Source organism: Homo sapiens, chromosome 3 (assembly GCF_000001405.40).
Source record: "Homo sapiens chromosome 3, GRCh38.p14 Primary Assembly".
Lineage (NCBI taxonomy): Eukaryota > Metazoa > Chordata > Mammalia > Primates > Hominidae > Homo > Homo sapiens.
Genome location: NC_000003.12, coordinates 194,257,804 through 194,279,615, shown reverse-complemented (window position 1 = coordinate 194,279,615; position 21,812 = coordinate 194,257,804). Strand labels below are relative to the sequence as shown.

At 51.0% G+C, this 21,812-nt stretch overlaps 1 long non-coding RNA gene across 1 annotated transcript, besides 2 other annotated features; it reads right to left on the bottom strand.

Annotated features, from left to right (window-relative positions):
- Positions 1-1,456: 1,456 nt before the first annotated feature.
- LINC02048 (long intergenic non-protein coding RNA 2048) lies at positions 1,457-2,896 on the bottom strand. The gene is made up of 3 exons (NR_183751.1): positions 2,796-2,896; positions 2,459-2,696; positions 1,457-2,130 (listed from the first exon to the last, which is right to left on the bottom strand). It is a non-coding gene; the product is annotated as a long intergenic non-protein coding RNA 2048 (long non-coding RNA).
- Positions 1,768-2,967: an enhancer, noted in NCBI's record as "MED14-independent group 3 enhancer chr3:193994438-193995637 (GRCh37/hg19 assembly coordinates)". NCBI's record gives its function as "activates an origin of replication core promoter dependent on BRD2, BRD4, P300/CBP and CDK7 cofactors, and independent of MED14, by STARR-seq in HCT116 cells {active_cell/tissue: HCT116}" and the evidence as "EXISTENCE:reporter gene assay evidence [ECO:0000049][PMID:35650434]".
- Positions 7,639-8,570: an enhancer, noted in NCBI's record as "H3K27ac-H3K4me1 hESC enhancer chr3:193988835-193989766 (GRCh37/hg19 assembly coordinates)". NCBI's record gives its function as "activates a minimal SCP1, AML or CMV promoter by ChIP-STARR-seq in primed H9 embryonic stem cells {active_cell/tissue: H9 hESC(primed)}" and the evidence as "EXISTENCE:reporter gene assay evidence [ECO:0000049][PMID:30033119]".

Here is a 21,812-nt window from a genome sequence, read left to right as displayed (position 1 = left end):
TTCACCGACAGCAATGGGAGGTCAGAAGAAGCGCATATGTCATTCTCAAGGTCCATCCACCTTTTGTTAGGAGCCCGGTGAGGACAAGAACGAAGTGTGGCTTATGTTCGCTCTGACTTCCAGCTCTGTGTGCGGGGCATGGAAAGGAATCAAAGAAGGGTTTTTGGAGCTGAATAGAATGTTTTATTACTATTTGGCCCAGGATTGTTAGACTTAAAGGATGGCCAAACATCAGAAGGACCCTCGAGCTCAAGCGATGAGCCCAGCCCCGTGTTGGGCATGAGTCTATCTGAGGGTCCAGGACGAGATTTGCTCAAGGCCACGTGGAGCTGTCTGCCTACGTTCACTCTGTGGTCTGTGCCTTCTCCCTCCACAGGGGAGACTGTGCACGGTGGGCCAGGTGGTTTCAGGGAGTGGCAACCCAGGGGCAGTGGAAATAGCGTAGGCTTTGGAGTCAAAAAGACCTGAGTTTGAATATGGCTCCACATATCCCTGTGTGTTGCCTTGGCAATGACTTCGTCTTTCTGAGTTTCACTTATTTTATAAAAGGGGAATAATGTCCACTGTGAAGTTTGCTGTCATGTTTAAAAGGAGGTAATGTTTGGCCAGGCGTGGTGGCTCACGCCTATAATCCCAGCACTTTGTGATCACCAGGTCACAAGTTCGAGACCAGCCCGACCAACATGGCAAAACCCCTCCCCTACTAAAAATATAAAAATTAGCTGGGCGTGGTAGTGCACACCTGTATTCCCAGCTATTCTGGAGGCTGAGGCAGGAGAGTCGCTTGAACCTGGGAGACAGAGGTGGCAGTGAGCAGAGATCGTGCCACTGCACTTCAGCCTGGGTGACAGAATCAGACTCTGTCTTAAAAAAAAAAAAAAAAGAAAAGGAGGTAATGTTTGCAGACTGCCTGAATGCACAGTAGCTACTCAAGAAGTAGTGTAGCCCCAGGCATTCCGCTTCCCTGTTGGCGGGGACAAGGGGATCCATTTTTGTCCCTGTGGGGCCTAAGAAGGAGTTCATTCCCTAGTGTTCCTCAACTCTAGTTACATCCATGTGCCACCGATTTCCCCTTCTCTGAGGTTGCCCAGGGGATAAAGGGGGATTGGCTGTGGGAGGATGGCCTTTCTTCCCTGCTGTGCTGCTGGGGCCAAGAGGGGCCATATAGAAACTTGCTCAAGGTCTTCTTTGGCAGAATCTAGGTCCCTGGGTCCTCATCCTGCCAGCGGTGTGACCTGGGAAGCTTCTTCTCCTCTCTGAGCCTCAGAGTCCCCCTGAGATTTCACAGGATAACGATCTGCCTTGTCTGCAGCTTGGGGCTGTTGCAAAGACCCAGGAAAGCATTTTACACACAGCAGAGTCCTGTGCAAACGCCGGGAGTCATCACAATTTTCTTGTAAGCACCATTATTTTCTTAAAGAAACTTCAAGAAGTAAAAGAGCCTTATACTATATCTTGCAAAACAAATTTTTTAGCAGCAGAAAAAAAAATGGAGGAGAGGTTAAAAAGAAAAAAAAAGATTTGAGCCAACAGCTTCGGCTCCCTTGTCAGCCAACTAGAGGAAAGAAGTGAGTAACAGAGGTTTGTTTCCAAGGGAGCCTGTCTGAGCCAAGAAGAGCTGTTGCCAACCCAGCCGGGGCCTGAGGTCAAGGCCTCATGGGGGGCCGGCTGCCTGTTCACCCTTCCAGACCTCATTTCTCCTACTGCATGTTAGACCAGGGTGCTGGAGTCAGGGTGCCAGAGGGCCTCGGGGCCTGGCTTCTCCAGGCTGGATCTGCTTCTCTTCCTCCTCCACGGAAGAGTCTCGAGGGAGGGTAGGAAGGAGAAAATCCAAACCCCTTGCTGGGTGTATGTTTCTGAGGCTTAACCAGAATCTGTCCCGTGACTGCCCAGCTGTAAATCAGGGCCAGAGGGATGGTGGTGGGGACAGGGAGGAGACTGGGGAGTGTCTGGGGAAGGGCTGGGAGCCTTTGGGGAGGACCTGGGAGGTTAGGATGACGGCAGGAGAGGCCCCTTCTCTTGCTTTCTCTGCCTGCCTCCGAGCTGGCTCACCGACCGGGTGACTTCTGTCCCCTTTCCTTGTTTCTTGCCTTTCACAGCTGCCTCCCAGCTCAGGTTCCACAGCTGTCCCTGAAACACAGGCACAGCCCTTGGCACAGCCTCCCTTCCCCTCTTCCCCTCCTTGCCCTCCCCAGTGGGCCATCCAGGCCTGGGCTGGCTCTCGGGAGGCCCGCGCTCCCCGGGCTGCCTGTGGGTGATGCAGGGAGCACTGCTCTGCCTGGCTTGGGCTTCTGTGCCTTCCTCATGTTGCAGGGTGGGTGGGGACTGTGGCAGTGGGCATGCTGCCGAGTTGGGAAGTCCTGAAAACTTCCCAAAGCCCAGTTAGAAAGGAACGAGGGGGCGGACTTGGCCAGAACCCTTGCCGGGCAGCCGCCATCAGCAGCCACTGAAACCTTACCTGGCCCAGCCTGCGGCGCTGACTGATGAATGGGAGGCCAGCCAGGAAGGGGCTTCCTCCTGCCAGATGCTCCATGAGCACCGGCCAGGGGCTTTGACTGACGTGTCATTCCTTTTCACCAAGTGTTAAAAGATGAAGGAAGCTGGTGGAAAGACCTGGCTCCAAGACAGGAGGGCAGATGGCAGGCTGGGCACGTGTTTCTTCCCTGGCCTGGTGTGGTCACACCGTTCACCTATGCCTGGAGAGAAAAGGTCAGAGTCAGCCCTAGAGTCAGCCCTTCCAACCCCCTTATTTTACAGACTGGGAAACTGAGGCCTGGCAAGGGGAAGGGACTCACCCAGTGACTTCATGGCTCTCAGCCCTGTGCCATTTCTCTCACCCTCTGCTGTCTGTCACTGAACCAAGAACCAAGCAAGCCCAGACTGCCCAATGGATCAATGGATCAAAGGTTTGAAAATTAGCTGATTGGAGCCAGGGGCTGCATTTCTCAAAGAAAAAAGATATTTCATGATCATGCCAAAGGACCCTGGGGCCTGGCTTCTCCACTTCCCCGTTCCCAAGGGTCTCCTCCTTTCCCTCCCCTCCCTCCCTTTTTTTTTCTTTTCTTTTCTCTTCTCTTCTTTTCTTTTTGAGACAGAGTCTCACTCTGTCACCCAGGCTGGAGTGCAATGGCAGGATCTCGGCTCACTGCAACCTCTGCCTCCCAGGTTCAAGGAATTCTCCTGCCTCAGACTCCAGAGTAGCTGGGATCACAGGCACCCAACACCACACCCAGCTATTTTTTTTTTTTTGTATTTTTAGTAGAGATGGGGTTTCACCATGTTGGCCAGGCTGGTCTCTATCTCCCGACCTCAAGTGGTCTGCCCACCTCAGCCTCTCAAAGTGCTGGGATTACAGGCGTGAGCCACCACGCCCAGCCAGACCATTCCTTTCTAAGGCACGAGTCAGGATGGGCATTTATTGGAAAGGATTTTCTTATTCCAGTTAATTTCCAGATGCTGAAATTTCAGGTAAAATAATAAGGGGCAAGTTCTGGGCTATGAGTGAGTGAATGAGTGTGTGTGTGTGGGGTCACACGTGTGTGTGCTCAGACTCATTCAGGGTGGGAATCTTTTGGGTCACAAAGGGGCCTCATGGGCCTCTGCTTTCAGGATGAGCTGGTTGTTCCGGCTTCTCAGCCTCCTCCTCTCCCTGTAGCCGAGTGAACGTATTCTCCAGGACCTCTGTTTTCCTGGCAGCATCTCCAGTGGGGAGCGGAAAGAGGAGGGGAGTCGGGAAGACCTGGGGAGGGGTCTGAGAGGGCATTTGAAACAGGGGCTTCATGTGGTGGAAGGGGGAAGCGGAAAGACCATGGTGTTACTATTATTGTAGTTGCCAATGACACCCCACCCCCACCCTACCCCCACCCCACCCCCACCCCCACACTACCCCCACGCTATCCCCACCCCACCCCTGCCACTCTGCTGTGGCCCTTGTCATTTATCACTTATTCTGCAACAGCCTCTAGACTGGGGTCCGCACCGACAGCCTTCCCCCTTCAGCCCCAGGGTCCCTGGACTCCCCTTGCTGGCGTGATCTTGGGCCTAACAGATATTTTAGCCTTGTCTTTCACCGCCCCCTTGGCTTTTTGTTGCGATTGAACACTAACCATTCTGCAAACCTTCTCCTGGCCTCCTGGCCTCGGTGTTTCCCTTGCCAGCCTCTGCAGCCTTGGCTTGGCTCATGCTGTCCACTTCCTCCCTCCTCTCCAGCCACACAAATCTCCTTTCAGTCCTTGGACCAAGCAAGCTCATTCCCACCTCTGCCCCGCACAGTGGAAGATGTAATAGGAGTCTGGCGTTTCTCTGCCTGATGCCCCTTCCCACTAATGACCAACCCCCCTCGTCCTGCCTAGCTCCCACCTCTCCGTGCAGCTGAACTTCCCGTCTGCTCCCTTAGCTCCCTGCCACTCTCTCCTTTCATCTGCATGTCTCCCTTCACAGAATGTAAAACTGAAGTTTGAAATTGTCAGTAATTTCTCCTTCTTCACATGACAATGAACTCCTTGAGGGCAAGGCGAATCCTCATTCACTGTAGGCCTACCAGTATTTGGCCTTTAGCAAGCACTTAATAAAACATCTCTTGAGTAAAAATGATCTCTTTCTTACTGGCCTGAGAGTCCCTAAGAGGCAAGACCCACCTCTGCATCACCAGGCTATCCCCCACAGTACCCATCTCATAGGCTGTCCATAAATGCTTAGTAAATTGAATTTCAGTGATGCCACAGCTGGGGAGAGTCATCAACAGTGTCTTCTATTGCTAAACACCTCCCTGCTTGCAAAAAACTTCCAGGCTGTCTTGGGTAGCAACCATTCTTGGTTTTCAAAGGTGAAAAGCAATTTGCCACAAGCAGAGAATGACAAATACTCAGGATGGAAGAAGAAGGGAGGGAAGCAATTATGGGAGGCGGGAGGGAGGGGAGAGCAGGCTGTGAACCCTCTCTCTTGAGTGAGAAGGAAAACAAAGAAAGGTTCTTCTCAGAAAATCCCATTGGCTCTTTAAGGGACCAGGAAACCACTTTTGTCCTCTTTTCCCTGTGAAGTCTCAGGATCTGTGAGCACAAAGCCTGGAGGTGCCGGCAGGGACCTTGTGAGTCACCAGAGGGAGAACCTCGCATGGTTCAAAATGTAAGGTTTAAAAATATCTCCACCAATATTCATAATCCCCATGCACTCTGGGCCGCTGGCAATTCAACATGAAATTCTCTTTTGGTCATTCAACTATATTCTATTTGTTGAGCTCCTATTGGTGCCTGCTTTCCTGGTACTTAAATTTTCAGGTAAGGAGACAGATGAAACACACACAGAAACAAACAAGAAGACATCAGAGAGTGCTCTAAAGAAAATTAGCTTGAGGCAGTGATGCAGAGAGAGCTCAGTCAGGAAAGGCCTCCTGGAGGAGGCAACATCTGAGCGGAGGTGGAGATGCTCCGAGGAGCTGGCTGCAGAGACATGAAGAGCATCCCAGGCAGAGGGCACAGCACTGGCTCCAAGGTCTGAAGAGGGAGGAGAGAGAGAACCACGTCAGGTGGGTCCCAGAAGCAGCAGGTATCAGATTGGGCTTACCTCCTCCAACCTGTCATTCAGGTGGCATGGAGCTTGGTGAAAGTGAATGGGGACTCTGGAGACGTGGCTCTAGATCTAGTTCTGCCACTGATTTGTCCCAGGACAGGCCTTGGGCACGATGCTCTCCCGCTCTTGTTTTCTAGGTCCTGTGAGATACTGTCCTTCACTTCTTCCGGGTGACATCTGAGCACCTGCAGCCCTTCCCATGCACATCCATTGTGGTTCAGATGAAAACAGGATGAAATGTAACCTGGTCTGATGACATTAATTTGCCTGAAGGAGCCCAGCACCCTGTCATTTAGAGCTGCATTTTCCTGGGGGCCTGGGCTGGGCCCCCTTTTAAGATGAAGGCTGCTCCTCCACCCTCCTGACACTTGGTTGCTGGTTTTCCTCACACCTGCAGCCAGTCCACAGCTGGCCGCCTGCTGGCCTAGCTCCAGGCCGATGGGGTGGCTGGACAGGCAGGGAGCTGCACGCAGCTTTGCAGTTCCAGCCTCAAGAGTGACGGCAGCCTCCCTAGGTACGGGCCACTGCCTGGCACTTTCCTCCCCTCCTGCCTCGGGTGGCTAGGGTGTGGATTTTGGCCGGTGAACGCCACGCATCAAACTCGTGTGTGGCAGCTGGGGGACCACCCAGCCCTAAGCAGTCGGCCCACCGCATTTCAGGGTGGGTTGTTTTCTTGCTCGGACTTGTTTTTCCTGGCACTGCAAAGGTCACATGCTTACTTCGTGGCAGTAAGTGTGAGGCGCCCCCGTGGGCTCTTAGCGAGGGTAAAGAGATGCTTTTTTTTTTTTTTTTTGCATACGCAGAAAGTTACGTGGGAACAGAACCATGTATAACCCATTAAACTGCCTGTCCTGATGGACGCCCAGGCCGCTCCTACATGTCGATAATGTGTACAAGATGTGTAGCGCTTGGGGCGGCACCAGCAGACGCTCTGGCCAAGCACTTATGTTCTAAATAACCCTCTTAGGCAGCACTTGCTAATTAATACCAGGGATAACCTCACAGCCCGCGGTGAACAGAGAAGCCTGGAATCTCCAGGAAGTGGGAGGATCCTCTGATATCCTTAACTCGTGATCTCCTTTCCAGAATCACCTCCCCACAACCATGTGTGTCCAATCTAGCACGGACACTTCTAGTGACCGGAGGTGTGCCGGCCAAGGATCAGTCCGTCCTCTGTTGGAAAGTTCCTATAGCAGTCAAAATCTGCCCTCCATAGACGTTTGCTCTAGGGCCCTCATCAGACCCTTTGGGGTCAGATAGAGTCCAATCCCTTCTTGTAGGACTGCCCTTGGCTATTGGAAGATAGTTCTCACCATCAGGGTTGAACCACCTGACACGGTTCTCCTGCACCTGGTTTTGACCCCCTTCCCCATTCTATCCAAGCTCCATTTACTTTCCTAGAAACATGGTTCCCTCGGTTTGCTCTGAGTAGCCCACAGGGAGAGCGGGACAGGAGAGTGCCTCGCTTCCTCTGAGCGGTGGGCAGTTCTCTCCATTAAGTAAGAGAATGAGAGGTGAGCTCCAGGCCCCCTACAGCTCCCTACTGGGGCTCTGCTCGGGGTCATCCACTTGTCCTGCCCTCGGGTGGGCAGACACCAACTCTGTCAACCACAACGGGCCTGGCCGGGCTGCTCGTTGGGCCTCCAGGGATGCCTGAGGACAGCTCCAATCTGCGGGCCAGTGACTTACACCCTCCCTGGCCTTCATTTCTCCTCATATGTGAAATTGAATTATGAAACCAGGTCAATAAGATTTTATGAAACCCTAGTAGGGAGAGGCTGGGCGTGGTGGCTCATGCCTGTAATCCCAGCACTTTAGGAGGCCGAGGCGGGCAGATACCTGAGGTTAGGAGTTCGAGACCAGCCTGGCCAACATGTTGAAACCCTGTCTCTACAAAAATACAAAAAATTAGCCGGGCATGGTGGCGGGTGCCTGTAATCCTAGCTACTCGGGAGGCTGAGGCAGGAGAATCATTTGAACTTGGGAGGGGGAGGTTGCAGTGAGCCAAGATCACACCATTGCACTCCAGCCTGGGAGACAAAGTGAGACTCCGTCTCAAAAAAAAGAAAAAAAAAAAAGTAGGGAGAAGTTCTCGTGGGAGTATCATGGCTTCGGTACTCTCACAGCTGCCTGACACCATAAGACTGAGCAACTAGGAAGGGGCACAGCGGAGGTTACTGCCCCACGGCGCAGCTGAAAAAACAGGCTCAGGGGATGAAATGACTCGCCATGGTCCCACGGGTGGATGGCAGCACTGCCCAGGAACTGGAACCCAATGCTGTTTTGAGGCCAAATTAGTGCTTTTCCCATGCCCTTGAGCAGCTCAGCCTCGTTGAGGGGGAAAGGATGAGACATGCTCAGGGTGCACCCACCAAACGATGCCTCTGTGTGTCCTGGGGCACAGGCTGGCACGGCTCAGAGCTCAGCCTGCATGCCCGCTCCCCTTGATGCTGTACTGTTTAGTTTATGAAGCCACAGGCGAGGGAGAGAGAGCAGCGTGATGGCCCCTCCTGCTGCAGCTCTCTGGCCTGGATACCAGGGACGGGGTGTGCCCACCCAGCCTGGGCCTGGAGGGGGCTGAGCCAGGGCGGCGGGTGACTGCTCGGCCATACTCCTCAGTGCCCGGAAGCCTGAGGGCACGAGGACTGGCTGTCTTCCCAGAAAACACAGATCACTGTCTGCCTGTTCTGTCCTTGAGCTCAGGCCCAGCTCTGTCCCATGACAGGATCCAGGAGGCGGGTGGCGGGTGGCAGGCCCTCCCCTCTATCCCAGGGAAGAGAGCAGGCTCCAAGGCCTGGGAGAGCCTCCAAGCCAGGGTCTCCAAGCCAGGCCTCTGGGGCCTGTCCCCAGGACCTGGGGCTCCCTGGGGGCTGCTTGTGGCTGCATTCAGTGCAGGAGGCCAGCCTCTGGAGAGCTCAAAGGAAGGACTTTGTTTTCAGGGAAGAAGGCAGGGCAAGGGTCACCTCCCCCTCCTTAATGAGTGACTGGCTCCAAAATGGCTTCTCTCCAATTGGTCTTTGCCAGGGCAGGGGTGACAGAGTCTGCTCTCAAGGGGGCAGCCTGAAGACCTCTGCGGGTTCTGTTGACAGGGCAGGAGCCGTGCCTCGCCACCCCCACCCAAGCATCTGAGCTGCCCCGGGCCTCTGCACAGCTTGACTCTGATGGAGGTAGCTCCAGGATGAGACTTGCTGAACCCCGGATCCGGCCACAAAGCGCAGAGCGCCTTTTCCTCCTGTAGAGCAGTGGGGTCAGGCCTGCGGTTGGAAGGGAAGGCTGATCCTGAGATGGGTGGAGCTTGAAGAAGCAGGATGATCCGGCAGGAAAGGAGCGAGCCAGTCAACACACCCTGGGGCACTAGGCTCTAGCGACCCAGGGCAATGAAATGAAGCAGTCCTCTTGTCAAGGTGGTGTCAGGCTTGTGTGAGGGGTGGAGGCGGAAAGGGGTGGGCAATGGGTGAGAAGGTGGCCATTTCTTCCTCTATGCCAGTTTTCAAAGTGGTGCCCTGGGCACGGCACGGTGGCTCACACCTGTAATCCCAGCACTTTGGGAGGCCGAGGTGGGTGGATCATCTGATGTCAGGAGCTCGACACCACCCTGGCTAACATAGTGAAACCCCGTCTCACTAAAAATACAAAAAAAAAAAAAAGAGCCGGGCGTGGTGGCGGGCGCCTGTAATCCCAGCTACTCGGGAGTCTGAGGCAGGAGAATCGCTTGAACCCCGGAGGTGGAGCTTGCAGTGAGCCGAGATGGCACCACTGCACTCCAGCCTGGGCCACAAGAGTGAAGCTCCATCTCAACAAAACAAAACAAAAAACAAAAACAAAAACAAAAACAAAGTGGTGCCCCGGAAGAAACCTACAAGAAGTCAAATGAAAGGCCCTGCTTCCAGTCCCAGCCCTGCCATAGCCTCACGGCCAGAGACGGACTCAGTGCTCTTCTCTGTGAAATGGGTGTTAGAACCGTGTCTCCTGAAAAGCCACCAAGTGTCTGGGGGAACTGGATGTGGGAGGGCTTTTTCGGCTGTGGGGGGCTCTATGGTGAGATGGAGGTGTGATCCTCTAGCAGGCCTGGTGGAGGCGCTCGGTCCTGGTGCCGGGAGGAGCTTCCTTCCCCACTAGCAGGAGCAGTCGGCACCGCCAGGGATGGATTCTCCGCGTGGCTGGATGGGAGGGCAAAGCCGGCTCGTGCTCCCCGTCTTCCCGCCCTCCCCCATCCTAGCAAGACCTTCTTCGTCCCCCGGTGCTGGCGGAATTTCAGAGGGCCTGGCTGCCAGGAAGGGTGGGGCTGCCAGACACGGCCGAGCCGCAGGGTGACCCGGCCAGTCCCGGAAACTCTCCAAACCTTGGACCTCAGCCGCACATCCGGCAACGCTGAGGGGTGGTGGCAGGGCCCGCCGGGGGACTGAGGGCGTGTGGGATGCCTCCAAGGTCAGGTCACTGGAGATTTCCAACATGAGAAAGGAAGAGCTGCGTTTTATCCTATGTGAGGATCAGAAGGCTTCTCAGGGTTGACGGAAGTAGTGGGGCGGCCTTCCCAAATGCTTTCCTACTCCCAGGTGCTACCTTAGGACTGAACGTGTATCCTAGACTCATTAATTCAACAAGAAACAGCCCAGACTTGTTGAAGAGTGTTCACTTTGTGCCCGGCACCATGCTAAGCTTGTTACTTACACAAATCTTTCAAGAACTCAATGAGATGAGAACATTATGCCCATTTCATAGATGAGAAAACAGAGAATCTTTCAAGAACTCAATGAGATGAGATTATGATGATGCCCATTTCATAGATGAGAAAACTGAGGCTCGGGGGACAAGAATCACTTGCCCAAGGTCACGTAAACACTAATTGTAGGAGTCTGGATTCACACCCAGGCAGGTTTGGGTGATTCCAAACTTTATGTCCTTAACTTTCCTGGAAGGCAGGACCCATAGTTTACTCAACCCTGCAGAATGCATAGTAGCCAGTGAAGATGTACTGAATGGGGCCTGCTGCATTTTTAGGGGACTGACTCTCTCCCATTATAGACTGATGAAAGGACATGAAATGCATGCCAGAACTTAGCTCAGTGGCTGGCACGTAGCAGAAGCCAAGGTGCAGCTTTCCTCCCTCTTACCTGGTGCATCTGTGCTCCTGAATAACACTGTCAGCCTCTCCTTCGGTCCCTGTTTGGGTAAAGCTGTTAACAGTCCCAGTCAGGGCTGGGTGCGGTGGAAGGCCGAGGTGGGTGGATCACCTGAGGTCAGGAGTTCGAGATCAGCCTGGCCAACATGGCGAAACCCCATCTCTACTAAAAATACAAAAATCAGCTGGTCACGGTGGCACATGCTTGTAATCCCAGCTACTCGGGAGGCTGAGGCAAGAGATCCCTTGAACCTGGGGGTTGGAGGTTGCAGTGAGCCGAGATCACACCACTGCACTCCAGCCTGGGCAACAGAGCAAGACTCCCATCTAAAAAAAAAAAAAAAAAAAAGGAGAGAGAAAAAAGTCTCAGTCAGAACCCATCAGCCTGAGGGAGTGAGAGGCCTTAGGGGTGGGTGGGAGAGGAGAAGGCAGAGTCTGTGGCTCTCTCTCCTGCATCCCACATGGCCTGGGTTTGGGAGTGGAGAGCAAAGACACCTGCTTCCTTTGCTGAGGTCGCTGAGGAAGCCCCTCCTCTCCTGCCTTGATGGAGGTGACGCGGACCTGGCCCTCCTCTCCTGCCTTGATGGAGGTGACGCGGACCTGGCCCTCCTCTCCTGCCTTGATGGAGGTGATGCGGACCTGGCCCTCCTCTCCTGCCTTGATGGAGGTGACGTGGACCTGGAAGCTTGGCCCGCGCAGAGCCCTGAGAGGCTGAGTCACACGGTCTGGCCCATGGACGTGAGAGGCACCGACACTGCGTCATAGCGTCGGAGGAGGCCAGGCCTGGTGGGGCCTCGTGCAGCTGAGCGTGAGAAGAAAGGGGCCTGTGGGAGGACAGCTGGGGCCGGCTCCAGGCCCCCTGGTCCCCACACAGAGCCAAGGCTGCACTTGGGCGGCCTCCGCACGCACAGGCCAACACAGACCTGATCTTCCTTCCTGGAACCTCCTTCCTGGCCCTGCCTCTCTGACCGTCAATGCGGTGTTGAGATTGAACTGTCCCATACTTCTGTCATTTTAACCCTCTCTGGGCTGGGCCTCAACAAGTTCACTGTGACACGGAGACAGGCAGAGTCCAGGTAGAAAACATAATTCGTTCTGGAGACCTTAATAGAGGGGAACTGCTTGGAAAGGTACTGAAAGATGAAAGTGCAAACATGGGGAAAGGTGACCTAGAGAGCACAGGACAGGGAGACGCCACCATTCCTGGGCTGCGGACAGAGAGAGGAGGTGGTGTTTTCAGAACCCAGTGAGAGCTAAAACCGTGGGCGAGATTCCCTGGCAGGAGCTGGGACCCCAGAGGAGGAGCAGTCAGATAAAGGGAGACAGCTTCCTCCCTCTTCCTCCTCACAGTCTCCTGGCAGTGGGAGATGGGGACCTTGGCAAATGTAGCTTGCAGGGGTGGGTCCCCTGTGACGAAAGAGAGCAGAGGGAGGGCAGGGCGTGGATCTGAGGCCAAACAAGCACAGGAGCTACCTAGTCGTCAGCTAGTCAGACCTTCACAAAAGACCTGAGGCAGGAGAATTGCTTGAACCCGAGGGTGGAGGTTGCAGTGAGCCAAAATTTCACCACTTCACTCCAGTCTAGGCAACAGAGTGACACTCCAGTCTCAAAAAAAAAAAAAAAAAAAAAAAAAAAAAAAAAAAAAAAGAAAAGAAAAAGAAAAAAGTCCCAGGGGGAAAAAAAATGTCGCATCCCTCCAACGGGGCGATCCAGAGGACTAGCCCCTGAAAAGTCAACTTGCCTCTGGAGATATTCCCAAATCCTCTATGGGTGATTGCAATTTGTGGTAACGTCCAAACATTTTCTCTGTCCAGAGTGAGGCAGGGAAAGAGGATAATTTTTGGAGGATTATCTGTTTTCTGTGCGTTTCTCAAAAGATAGGGGAACTTCTGGTGCTTAAACAAACACCAGGTATTCTGTTATAACATAACATCAGTCTTCAAGGATGAAGGACCTGAGGCCAGCAGTGAGACAGACTGACAGGCATGGGACGAGGGGGTGCTGGACTTGGAACCCAGAGCCTGAGGATGTCCCAGCTCAGACTATTCACTCCTCTTGGAGCCTCGGGCTCTGCATCTTTCAAAGGGGACTCTGCGTTTTTCAGCGTTCTGTAGCAGTGAATGACAAGATGGAAGACAGGGAGGTTGCGGATGAGTGCTCTGATAGAAGGCTTCTGCCTGGAAACAAGCACTCTCCGAGGAGAGTTGCTAAGCTCTGTTTTGCAGCTAATATCACAACACCCTTTGGAGGGGGCACCTATAAACCTGACCTCAGAACCATGGAATCAGAGACAGCTGGACTCAAGAGCCAGCTTGTCCAACCTCTCCCTTAAAGGAAGAGTTTGCTCTCCAAAGTACTCAGACTCTTTTCCTCCCTCCATCTTTATCTTCTATCCCCTTCCCTCTTTTTCTTCCTCCCTTCCACACATACTTCGGCGCACCAACTGTCAGGCACTGCGCTGGGTGCTGTGTCTGCAGCAGGGAATGGAGACAGATGTGGGGTGCTCCCCTCACAGAGTTCAAAGTCTAGCACTTGAAAGTTTCTGCAAGCGATCTCTGTTGAATACCCCTGATAACAGGATGCTCACTACCTTCTGAGACAGCCTATTTTGTGGGTTATTTTTTCCTTATTTAAACTCTGTCTCTGTTATGCTTATTCAGGCCCCTGGAGCTATATAGTGTAAGTCTGACTCCGTTTCCTATGTCACAGCCCTTGAAACTTGGGAAAATAAACACATTATACCTAGCAAGTATTCTCACTCTCCAAGTTGCACTTGTGAAAGGGAAGCTGGTTCTCCATGAAGTTAAATTTCATGAGGTCCTGATAGCCCAGGACAGGCTCTAATCTGGGTGCCTGGGCTCTGTTTCTGGTGCACCTGGGGCCGAGGGAAGCTGTGTGGTAGAGACTCATGAGGGGACACCGGCAAAGGTTCTCAGGTGGTGAGAGAGGCGGGCTTCAGTGGAGCAAGGGGGTCCGTCGGTCTGGAAGGTGGGGTGTATGTAAGGCAGGCTCTGGCCATCTGCCCAGGACAAGCCTGAGCTCCAGCGTTTCTGCTCTGATTCACAGCTTCCTCTCTTCCCAAAGGAATCCCCTTTACAGTTCTCGCAGCCTGACCTCAGCATCCCTGTGAATGTCGACGGACAGCTGCGCAGAGTGCAGCCACCGCGGCAGCTCTGCCGGGTGCCAGCTGGACGTGCTTGGCGGCCAGGCCCTGGGAGCCACCTCTCGGGATGTCAGAGGAGAGCTGCAGGCCGCCCTTCCGTCAGCAGGAAGCCCAGCCACAAACACTTGGACAGGAACCCGAGTGCTGGCCAGCTGAGCAAGCTCTGGTTTCTCTTGCGTCTGAGGGTTTGGCCCAGGGCAGAGGAAGGCGAGCCAGGTGCTGCAGGCTGCACTGCCGGGGCCGCGGACTCCCCCTTGGGCTGGGAATGTGGGTTCAAGGGTGTGAGCGGAAAAGCATCATCCAGACTGGGGCAGAAGGAGGTGCTTCCTGGAGGAAGGGCGAGGGAGCAGGGAACACAGCGTTTACCAGCGCGAGTCCAGCTGGCTGAGAATGCGCAAAGACCCCTTTGTGATCGCGCCGGACAAAGTGTGTTCCTTGGTCCAGTCCTCAGTCCCCAGCACAGACCCTGGGAGCACGCACTGCAGTCCTCCAGCACAGACCCCGGGCTGGGGAGCACACACTGCAGTCCTCCAGCACAGACCCCGGGCTGGGGAGCACACACTGCAGTCCTCCAGCACAGACCCCGGGCCGGGGAGCACGCACTGCAGTCCTCCAGCACAGACCCCGGGCCGGGGAGCACGCACTGCAGTCCTCCAGCACAGACCCCGGGCCGGGGAGCACGCACTGCAGTCCTCCAGCACAGACCCCGGGCCAGGGAGCACACACTGCAGTCCTCCAGCACAGACCCCGGGGAGCACGCACTGCAGTCCTCCAGCACAGACCCCGGGCCGGGGAGCACGCATTGCAGTCCTCCAGCACAGACCCCAGGCTGGGGAGCACACACTGCAGTCCTCTAGCACAGACCCCGGGGACCACGCACTGCAGTCCTCCAGCACAGACCCCGGGCCGGGGAGCACACACTGCAGTCCTCCAGCACAGACCCCGGGGAGCACGCACTGCAGTCCTGTGGGGCGGGACGTCCACACATGCCCAGCTTGAAGGATGACGCTTTCGAAAATTACCAAGCTGCACTGAATGAATTTATTTAAAATAGTATGTGCTCAGCCAGGGACAAAGGCAGCTTTCCATCCAGGGCTGACATTTTTTCTTTTAAGTTCTTTTTTTTTTTTTTTTTGAGACAGAGTTTTGTTCTGTCTCCCAGGCTGGAGTGCAGTGGTGCAATCTCGGCTCACTGCAACTTCTGACTCCCTCGTTCAAGCGATTCTCCTGCCTCCGCCTCCTGAGTAGGTGGGATTACAGGCAGGCACCAGCACGCCCAGCTAATTTTTGTATTTTTAGTAGAGACAAGGTTTCACCATGTTTGCCAGGATGGTCTTGATCTCCTGACCTGTTGATCCATCCACCTCAGCATCCTAAAGTGCTGGGATTCCAGGCGTGAGCCACCACACTCGGCCTTTGCTTGTAGGTTCTATGCATGATTATCTTTGAGGCTGTCTATGTGCACATACAGCCCATACAACTGCCATGAACACCCCCCAGGTTTGCAGACAGCTTAAACTTTTCACAAGTCATTCAGGTATTTTTTTCCCTCACATTTGCTTCTCACAGCCTGCTAGGCCAGTGAGAGATGGCTGGTGTCAGGGGGACAAGGAGGTAAGCGGGTTGGCTCAAGGTCACATAGCTGAGCGGTGGCAGAGTCCCGCCCACCACAATGACTTCTGCTCCTCTGGAAAGAGACCTGAATGACTGCTTCCCACGCATCTAAGCATCCTCCACCTTATTCTGGCTCATGTGCAGGCCCGCCTGGGGGATGCGCTCCGGACTGGAGTCTGCTGCTAACACCCCATTCATTTGTCAAAGCTCAGTTTGAAAACCTCCTCCTGAGTACATCCTGCCTGTGGCTTTAGTCGCTCTCCTCGACTTGGTCACAGCTCTTTATTTGTGCCTTTTTAATAATCTACATTTTATTGTACTCCATAGCCTCTGTGGTTCTGACGCTAGTCCTGGAATCGGCAGTTTTTAAAATAAAGGGATAGATAAATATTTTAAGCTTTATGGGACATTATGATCTCTGTGGCATCCACTCAACTTTGACATTGCGGTACAGAAGTGGCCATAGACAATATGTAAATGAATGAACATGGCTGTGATTCCAATAAAACTTTATTCACAAAAACAGGTAATGAGCCAGAATTGGCCCCCAGGCCATAGTTTGCTGACCACTGCTTTAGAACTCCTCGAAGGCCAAAACTGTTATTTTTGCTTATGCAATCGCAAGCATTATCTCTACCCCAGCACCCATGTCAGGTTGACCACATTTATATTTTGTAGATATATTAGTACATATACCCTTCTAGCTCCTATATATTAATAGGAGTTCAGTGTTAATTCAATGTATGAATGAATGAGTTTTGCAAATGATACCGTTATAGAACTGGTTAGGCTTCCGTTCTGACCTTTGCCTGCGGTGATATAATGCGGTGAGTGCAGTCTCATAGAAGGGAACGCATAGGCCTGGTTTGAGCACCAGTTCTGCCGCTTTCTAGCTGTGAAAACTTGGGCATGTAACTGGCTCTTTCAGTCTTAGCTCTCAGTTTGCCCATTTGAGATATGCGGTGATACCTCACTCAAAGGGTTGTCATAGGATAAACAGAGAGTGGAAAGCTTGGGGCCCAGGGCTGGGTACACAGTAGGTGCTGATGAGGTGGTGGGAATTGCTACCTGGAAGAATGCATTGTTACTACTGAAAGCCACTTGCGCTGAGGGTCAAGTTCCAGGTTGGGCCTCAGCATCTTCTTGCCCTGTGACACGTGAAGATACTGTGGGAATAAGTGGAAAGATAGCCCTTAATCTGGAAAAAGGAGGCTCCTATAAACCCAGGCAGTCTTGCCAAAGTGTCTCCTCCATTGCCACTCTTGTAGGCACCTAAACACACTGTCCAAAATGACCTCTTCATCTTCACCCTCCGCCTCTCAAACTGCTCTTTCTTCTCCATCTCCCAAGGTCTCAAGCCAGAAACCTGAACGTCCTCTGCATCAGAATTGCTCCCTTCACCTCAGGACCAGCAACCATCAAAGTAGCCACCATTTCCGAGCAGCTCCATGGTCCTGCCTGCTCCGAGTTTTGCATCTGTGCCCTTGCAGTAGCTGCTTCTCGTAGCTCTCTACGCCATCCATTTATCCACTTTGTCATTTGATTTATGTTTCAAGAAAAAAATCTGGTTCTGTCCTGCTCAGCCTCTATAATAATCAATGGCTCCCCATTCACAGTAGGCCAATGTCCAGTTTCATGTCCAGAGCCTTCTCCACTGGTTTTTCCAGCTCCATCCTTTGGCATTCTTTGCTTGGCACATGATTTTTAGCCTCGCAGATGGATCTCACTATATATATTCTTATCTCTTGCACTTTAATGCTATTTATGTCTCGTCTCCCTTCCAGAATTTCCGTCTTCTGCAAGATATCACAAATCAGTCATTAAATGTATCTTGTGACTCCAGAGTTTTTAAACACGTTGTTTAAAGGCATGTTACTCAGTTCTGTTTGGAATTCAGCTCTGAAAATCTGTACCAATGGTATATTTTGAGAAAAGTTTTTTTTTTTTTCAACTAAAAGGAAACTTAGATATCAGATGCCTTCTGATAAAAAGCTTCCTTGATCAGAAATACCCAGGCAATGGGCTCATGGCAAACATGAGGCTTCCAGCCTGGAAGGGTAATGGTGTGGCAAGTAAGGATGCTGTACTGGAGTCAAGTGGCCTTCTGGGGTTCCTCTTGTGTCACAGAACAGAGCCTTGCAGCCCCAGGAGCCTCCAGTGGAAGCTGGCATTCACTGGCGTGTCAGTGTGTGACCGCTCATGAGACAAACATGACCCACAACTGATTTTTGGCCTCTGTGACCTCAAAGCCCTCAGTCCAGTGAGTTTGGAATGAAGAACAAGGCCTCCAGGCTACAGGAAGGGTGAAAAATCACATTGGTGTCCTCTGTGTCCTCCTGTGACAGGTGATAGTAACTCTCGTTGCCCTTGAGAAAGGTCGCAAGTGCAAACACCTAGGGTTGGTCCATCCTGGTCTCTCTGTTTGCCTCTCCCCACCCTCACCCCCAGCCCTGCCAGTAGTCCAACCTGCCCTCTCCAGGTTCACTGAAATCCTGCCGGCTCCTCTTGTTCTCCTGAGAATAGGAGATGCGGACATGGTGCTCTGCACAGTGTTGACTGAACTTTTACCCCCACCGGTTTGCATACCAAAGTTAATTAATCAAGCCCTTTTTTTTTTCAAAGTTTTTTTTTTTTTCCTTTAAGAAAGCAATGTATAAAGGTGTAATTCTTCTCAGAGGTCAGCAGGGCTGAAAACTTGAGAGAATGAAATGAAATGTTTTTCTTAAAAAGCAAAAAACACTTGTTTTTGCTTAAAATCTGCCACTCCTATGTAAACTCCTAGTCTCCGATGTAAACTTCTTATTCAATTTAAGAGCAGTGAAGTGTAATGGGCACAGAATGAAAATGGAAAATTTTCCCTGAGTTGGGAAAGGAAATTAGCTCATCTCTATCTTGTAAGATGCTGCCTTTGATACTAACTCTTATATTACATTCTAATAACACTTATATTACATTCTAATAACACTTATATTACATTCTAGGGCTGTTAAGAAAATCATTGCTGGATTGAATTTTTACAGTGCTTTGCATTGTTAGTAAGAAAGTACTCTTGGAAGTGGATTTTGGTTTTAGAAACCCAAATTACTAAAACCTAAACTTATTAAACATACAAGTGGATGGATTTTGGCTCTGTAAAATAATCCACAACATTAAAAAATGAATATCACAATGCATTGGAAATGTGATTCAATTTACCGAGGTTTAGCTTAACATTTTAGGTAGACTTTATATGGCCTAAAACAATGATAGGACTTTTAAAAATTGTATTGATAGGATTAGGGTTGGTTTAAACAAGGTAGAAGTTTGGTTCTCACTCATGTAAAAGTCCAGGTGGGTGGTCTGGGGCTGACATTGCCTCCCCAGTATCGGACTCCCAGGCTTGTTCATTCATTCATTCACTTTGCCTCCCCAGTATCGGACTCCCAGGCTTGTTCGTTCATTCATTCACTTAGCAAATATTTATTTAGCACCGACTAGGCATTGGGGTCACAGCAGCTGGGGAATGGGGAACAGACAAAATCCCTGCCCTCATGACATTTACATCCTGTTGGTCCACTCATGGCCTTGACCTCATGGTCCAAGATGACAACATCTCTTCATTCTAGTCAGCAGGATGGAGGAAGGAATGAAGAAGAAGAAGGCAAGGGGTGAACTGACATAATCTCTTAAGGAAGGTTCTTGGAAGCTGCACAACTCTCTCCCTCCGTTTCATGCAGTGATTAGTCACACAGCTTATTAGGCTGTTCTTGCATTGCTGTAAAGAAATACACAAGACTGGGTTTATAATAAGGAAAGAGGTTGAGCTGGCTCATGGTTCTGCAGGCTATACAAGAAGTATAGTAGCATCTGCTTTTGGAGGGGCCTCAGGAACCTTACAGTCATGGCAGAAGGCAGAGCTGGAGCAGGCACTTCACATGGAGAAAACAGGAGCAAGAGAGAGAGAGTGGGCGGGGTGAGGGGGAGCACATGATTTTAAATGACCAGATCTCGTGAGAACTCGCTATCACGGAGACAGCACCAAAAGCCATGAGGGATCTGCCCCCGTGGTCCAAACACATTCCACCAGGCCTCATTTCCAGCAATGGGGATTACAATTCAACAGGAGATTTGGGCTGGGGTAAATGTCCAAACTATATCACATGGTCTCACCTAGCTGGAAGGGAAGCTGGGGAATATAGTCTTTATTCCATGTGGCTACCATTTGCCCAGCTGGAAATCTGTTATTAAGGAAAAAGGGGAGTTGAATAATTGAGAGAGGGGTGCTACCAGTCTCTTTCACAAATAAAATTTGTAATTTTAAAAATAATACATTTTATGTAATCTAATGTGCCCAGAATATTTTTATTATTATTATTGAGGCAGAGTCTTGCTCTCTTGCCCAGGCTTGAGTGCAGTGGCACGATCTCAGCTCACTGCAATCTCCACCTCCTGGGTTCAAGTGATTCTCGTGCCTCAGCCACCCGAGTAGCTGACATTACAAGTGTGCACCACCATGCCCAGCTAATTTTTGTGTTTTTAGTAGAGACACGGTTTTGCCATGTTGGCCAGGCTGGTCTCTAACTCCTGGTCTCAAGTGATCTGCCTGCTTCAGCCACCCAAAGTTCTGGGATTACAGGCGTGAGTCACCACGCCCAGGGCAGAATATTATTATGCCAATGTCCAACTAATATAAAAATTATTTCATGTTCTTTTTTTTTACTAAGTCTTTGAAAACTATGATATATTTTACACTGACATCACTTATATTCTCTCATTCATTCACCTACATTACATCCCTATTCAGACTAGCCACATTGCAAGTGCTCAGTGGTCATATTAGACAGTGTTCTGGAGCCTGGCAGCTTGCAGTGTGGTCCATGGGCCAGCAGCATCAGCATCGATGGGGAGCTTGTCAGAGGTTCAAGACTCCAAGGCCCCACCCCAGACCTCCTAAGTTAGAATCTGTATTTTAACAAGATCTCCACGTTATTTGTGTGCACATTAAAGTATGAGCTGCACTGTTCTATAATAATTCTTCAGATAGGATTTCCAGTAGAATCTAACAAAAGAGTCTAGAGAAAAGAGAAACTACCTCAATGAACTCTCTGGAATCAAGCATAGAAACTTGTCAGATCCCATTTTTCCTTTTTCTGATCCCATTAGACTGCTAATTAGACCTTCGGAGAAGGGGTGATTTTAAAGTAGTTACATTCAAATGAATCAATTTAATAATAGGGAAAAATTTAAAAACCCAAACAACATAGAATTGTTGGACTGTGAGTGGATTTAATTTTCAAGGCTAACCTCCAATGCCATGAGCAGAGCTTTAAAATATATTGGATTTCTCTTAAACTTCTTCCCCGTTTTTTTAACAGCTTTATTCAGATACAATTCATATACCATACAATTCACCAATTTCAATTGTATAATTCAAGGGTTTTTCATATATTCACAGAGTTGTACAGCCATCACTGCAATCAATTTTTGAACATTTTCATCACTTCCAAAAGAAATCCTGTACTCATTGAGAGTCACTCCTCATCTCTTCCTAGCCCTAGGCAGCCACTAATGTACTTTCTGTCACTACAAATCTGCCTATTCTGAGCATTTCATATCAATGAAATCATACCACATATGGTCTTTGGAGACTGGCTTCTTTCACTTAGCCTAGTGTTTTTAAGGTTCATCCATGTTGTAGCATGCATCAGTACTTCATTCCTTTTCATGGCTGTATAATATTCCATGATATGGATATACCACATTTTGATTATCCATTCATAAACATATAAAGTTTTAATACAGAAACCAGAGAAGAAGGGAACAAAACAGTAAGGAGGAATCAAGGAAATAATAGCTCCTACTGGATTCAGACTCACAGAGAGTCAGAGCTGAAAAGAACCTTAAAACTCATACAGTGCATTGTTGTCCATGTGGAGAACTGAGACCCAGCAAATGAAAACCCTTTGTCCAGGGCCCTCCAACATCAGGAGGCCCAGCTGGGATGAGGATCCAAACTGCTTTGACTCCAACTCCTCTGCTGTACTCTGCCACCACAGACACCCAGGGTCTCAGCCTGCACCTCAAGGTAGTCATGGGAACAGTAGTCCTGGCAGCATCAGGGCGAGGCATAGCTCTTCATCTTAGTCTTGGTCTCAATTTTAGAAAACCATGTGGAGTTGAGAACCCCAGGGTGGATCTGGAGTTAGTTTTGGAGAGCTGTTTTCAAGATCTGTAGTAAAATGTCTGATATTCTGAGCCTCTTTCCATGTCACATGCAGATATATCTCTTTTTTTCTTTGAGATGGAGTCTCACTCTGTTACCCAGGCTGGAGGGCAGTGGCGTGATGTCAGCTCACTGCAACCTCC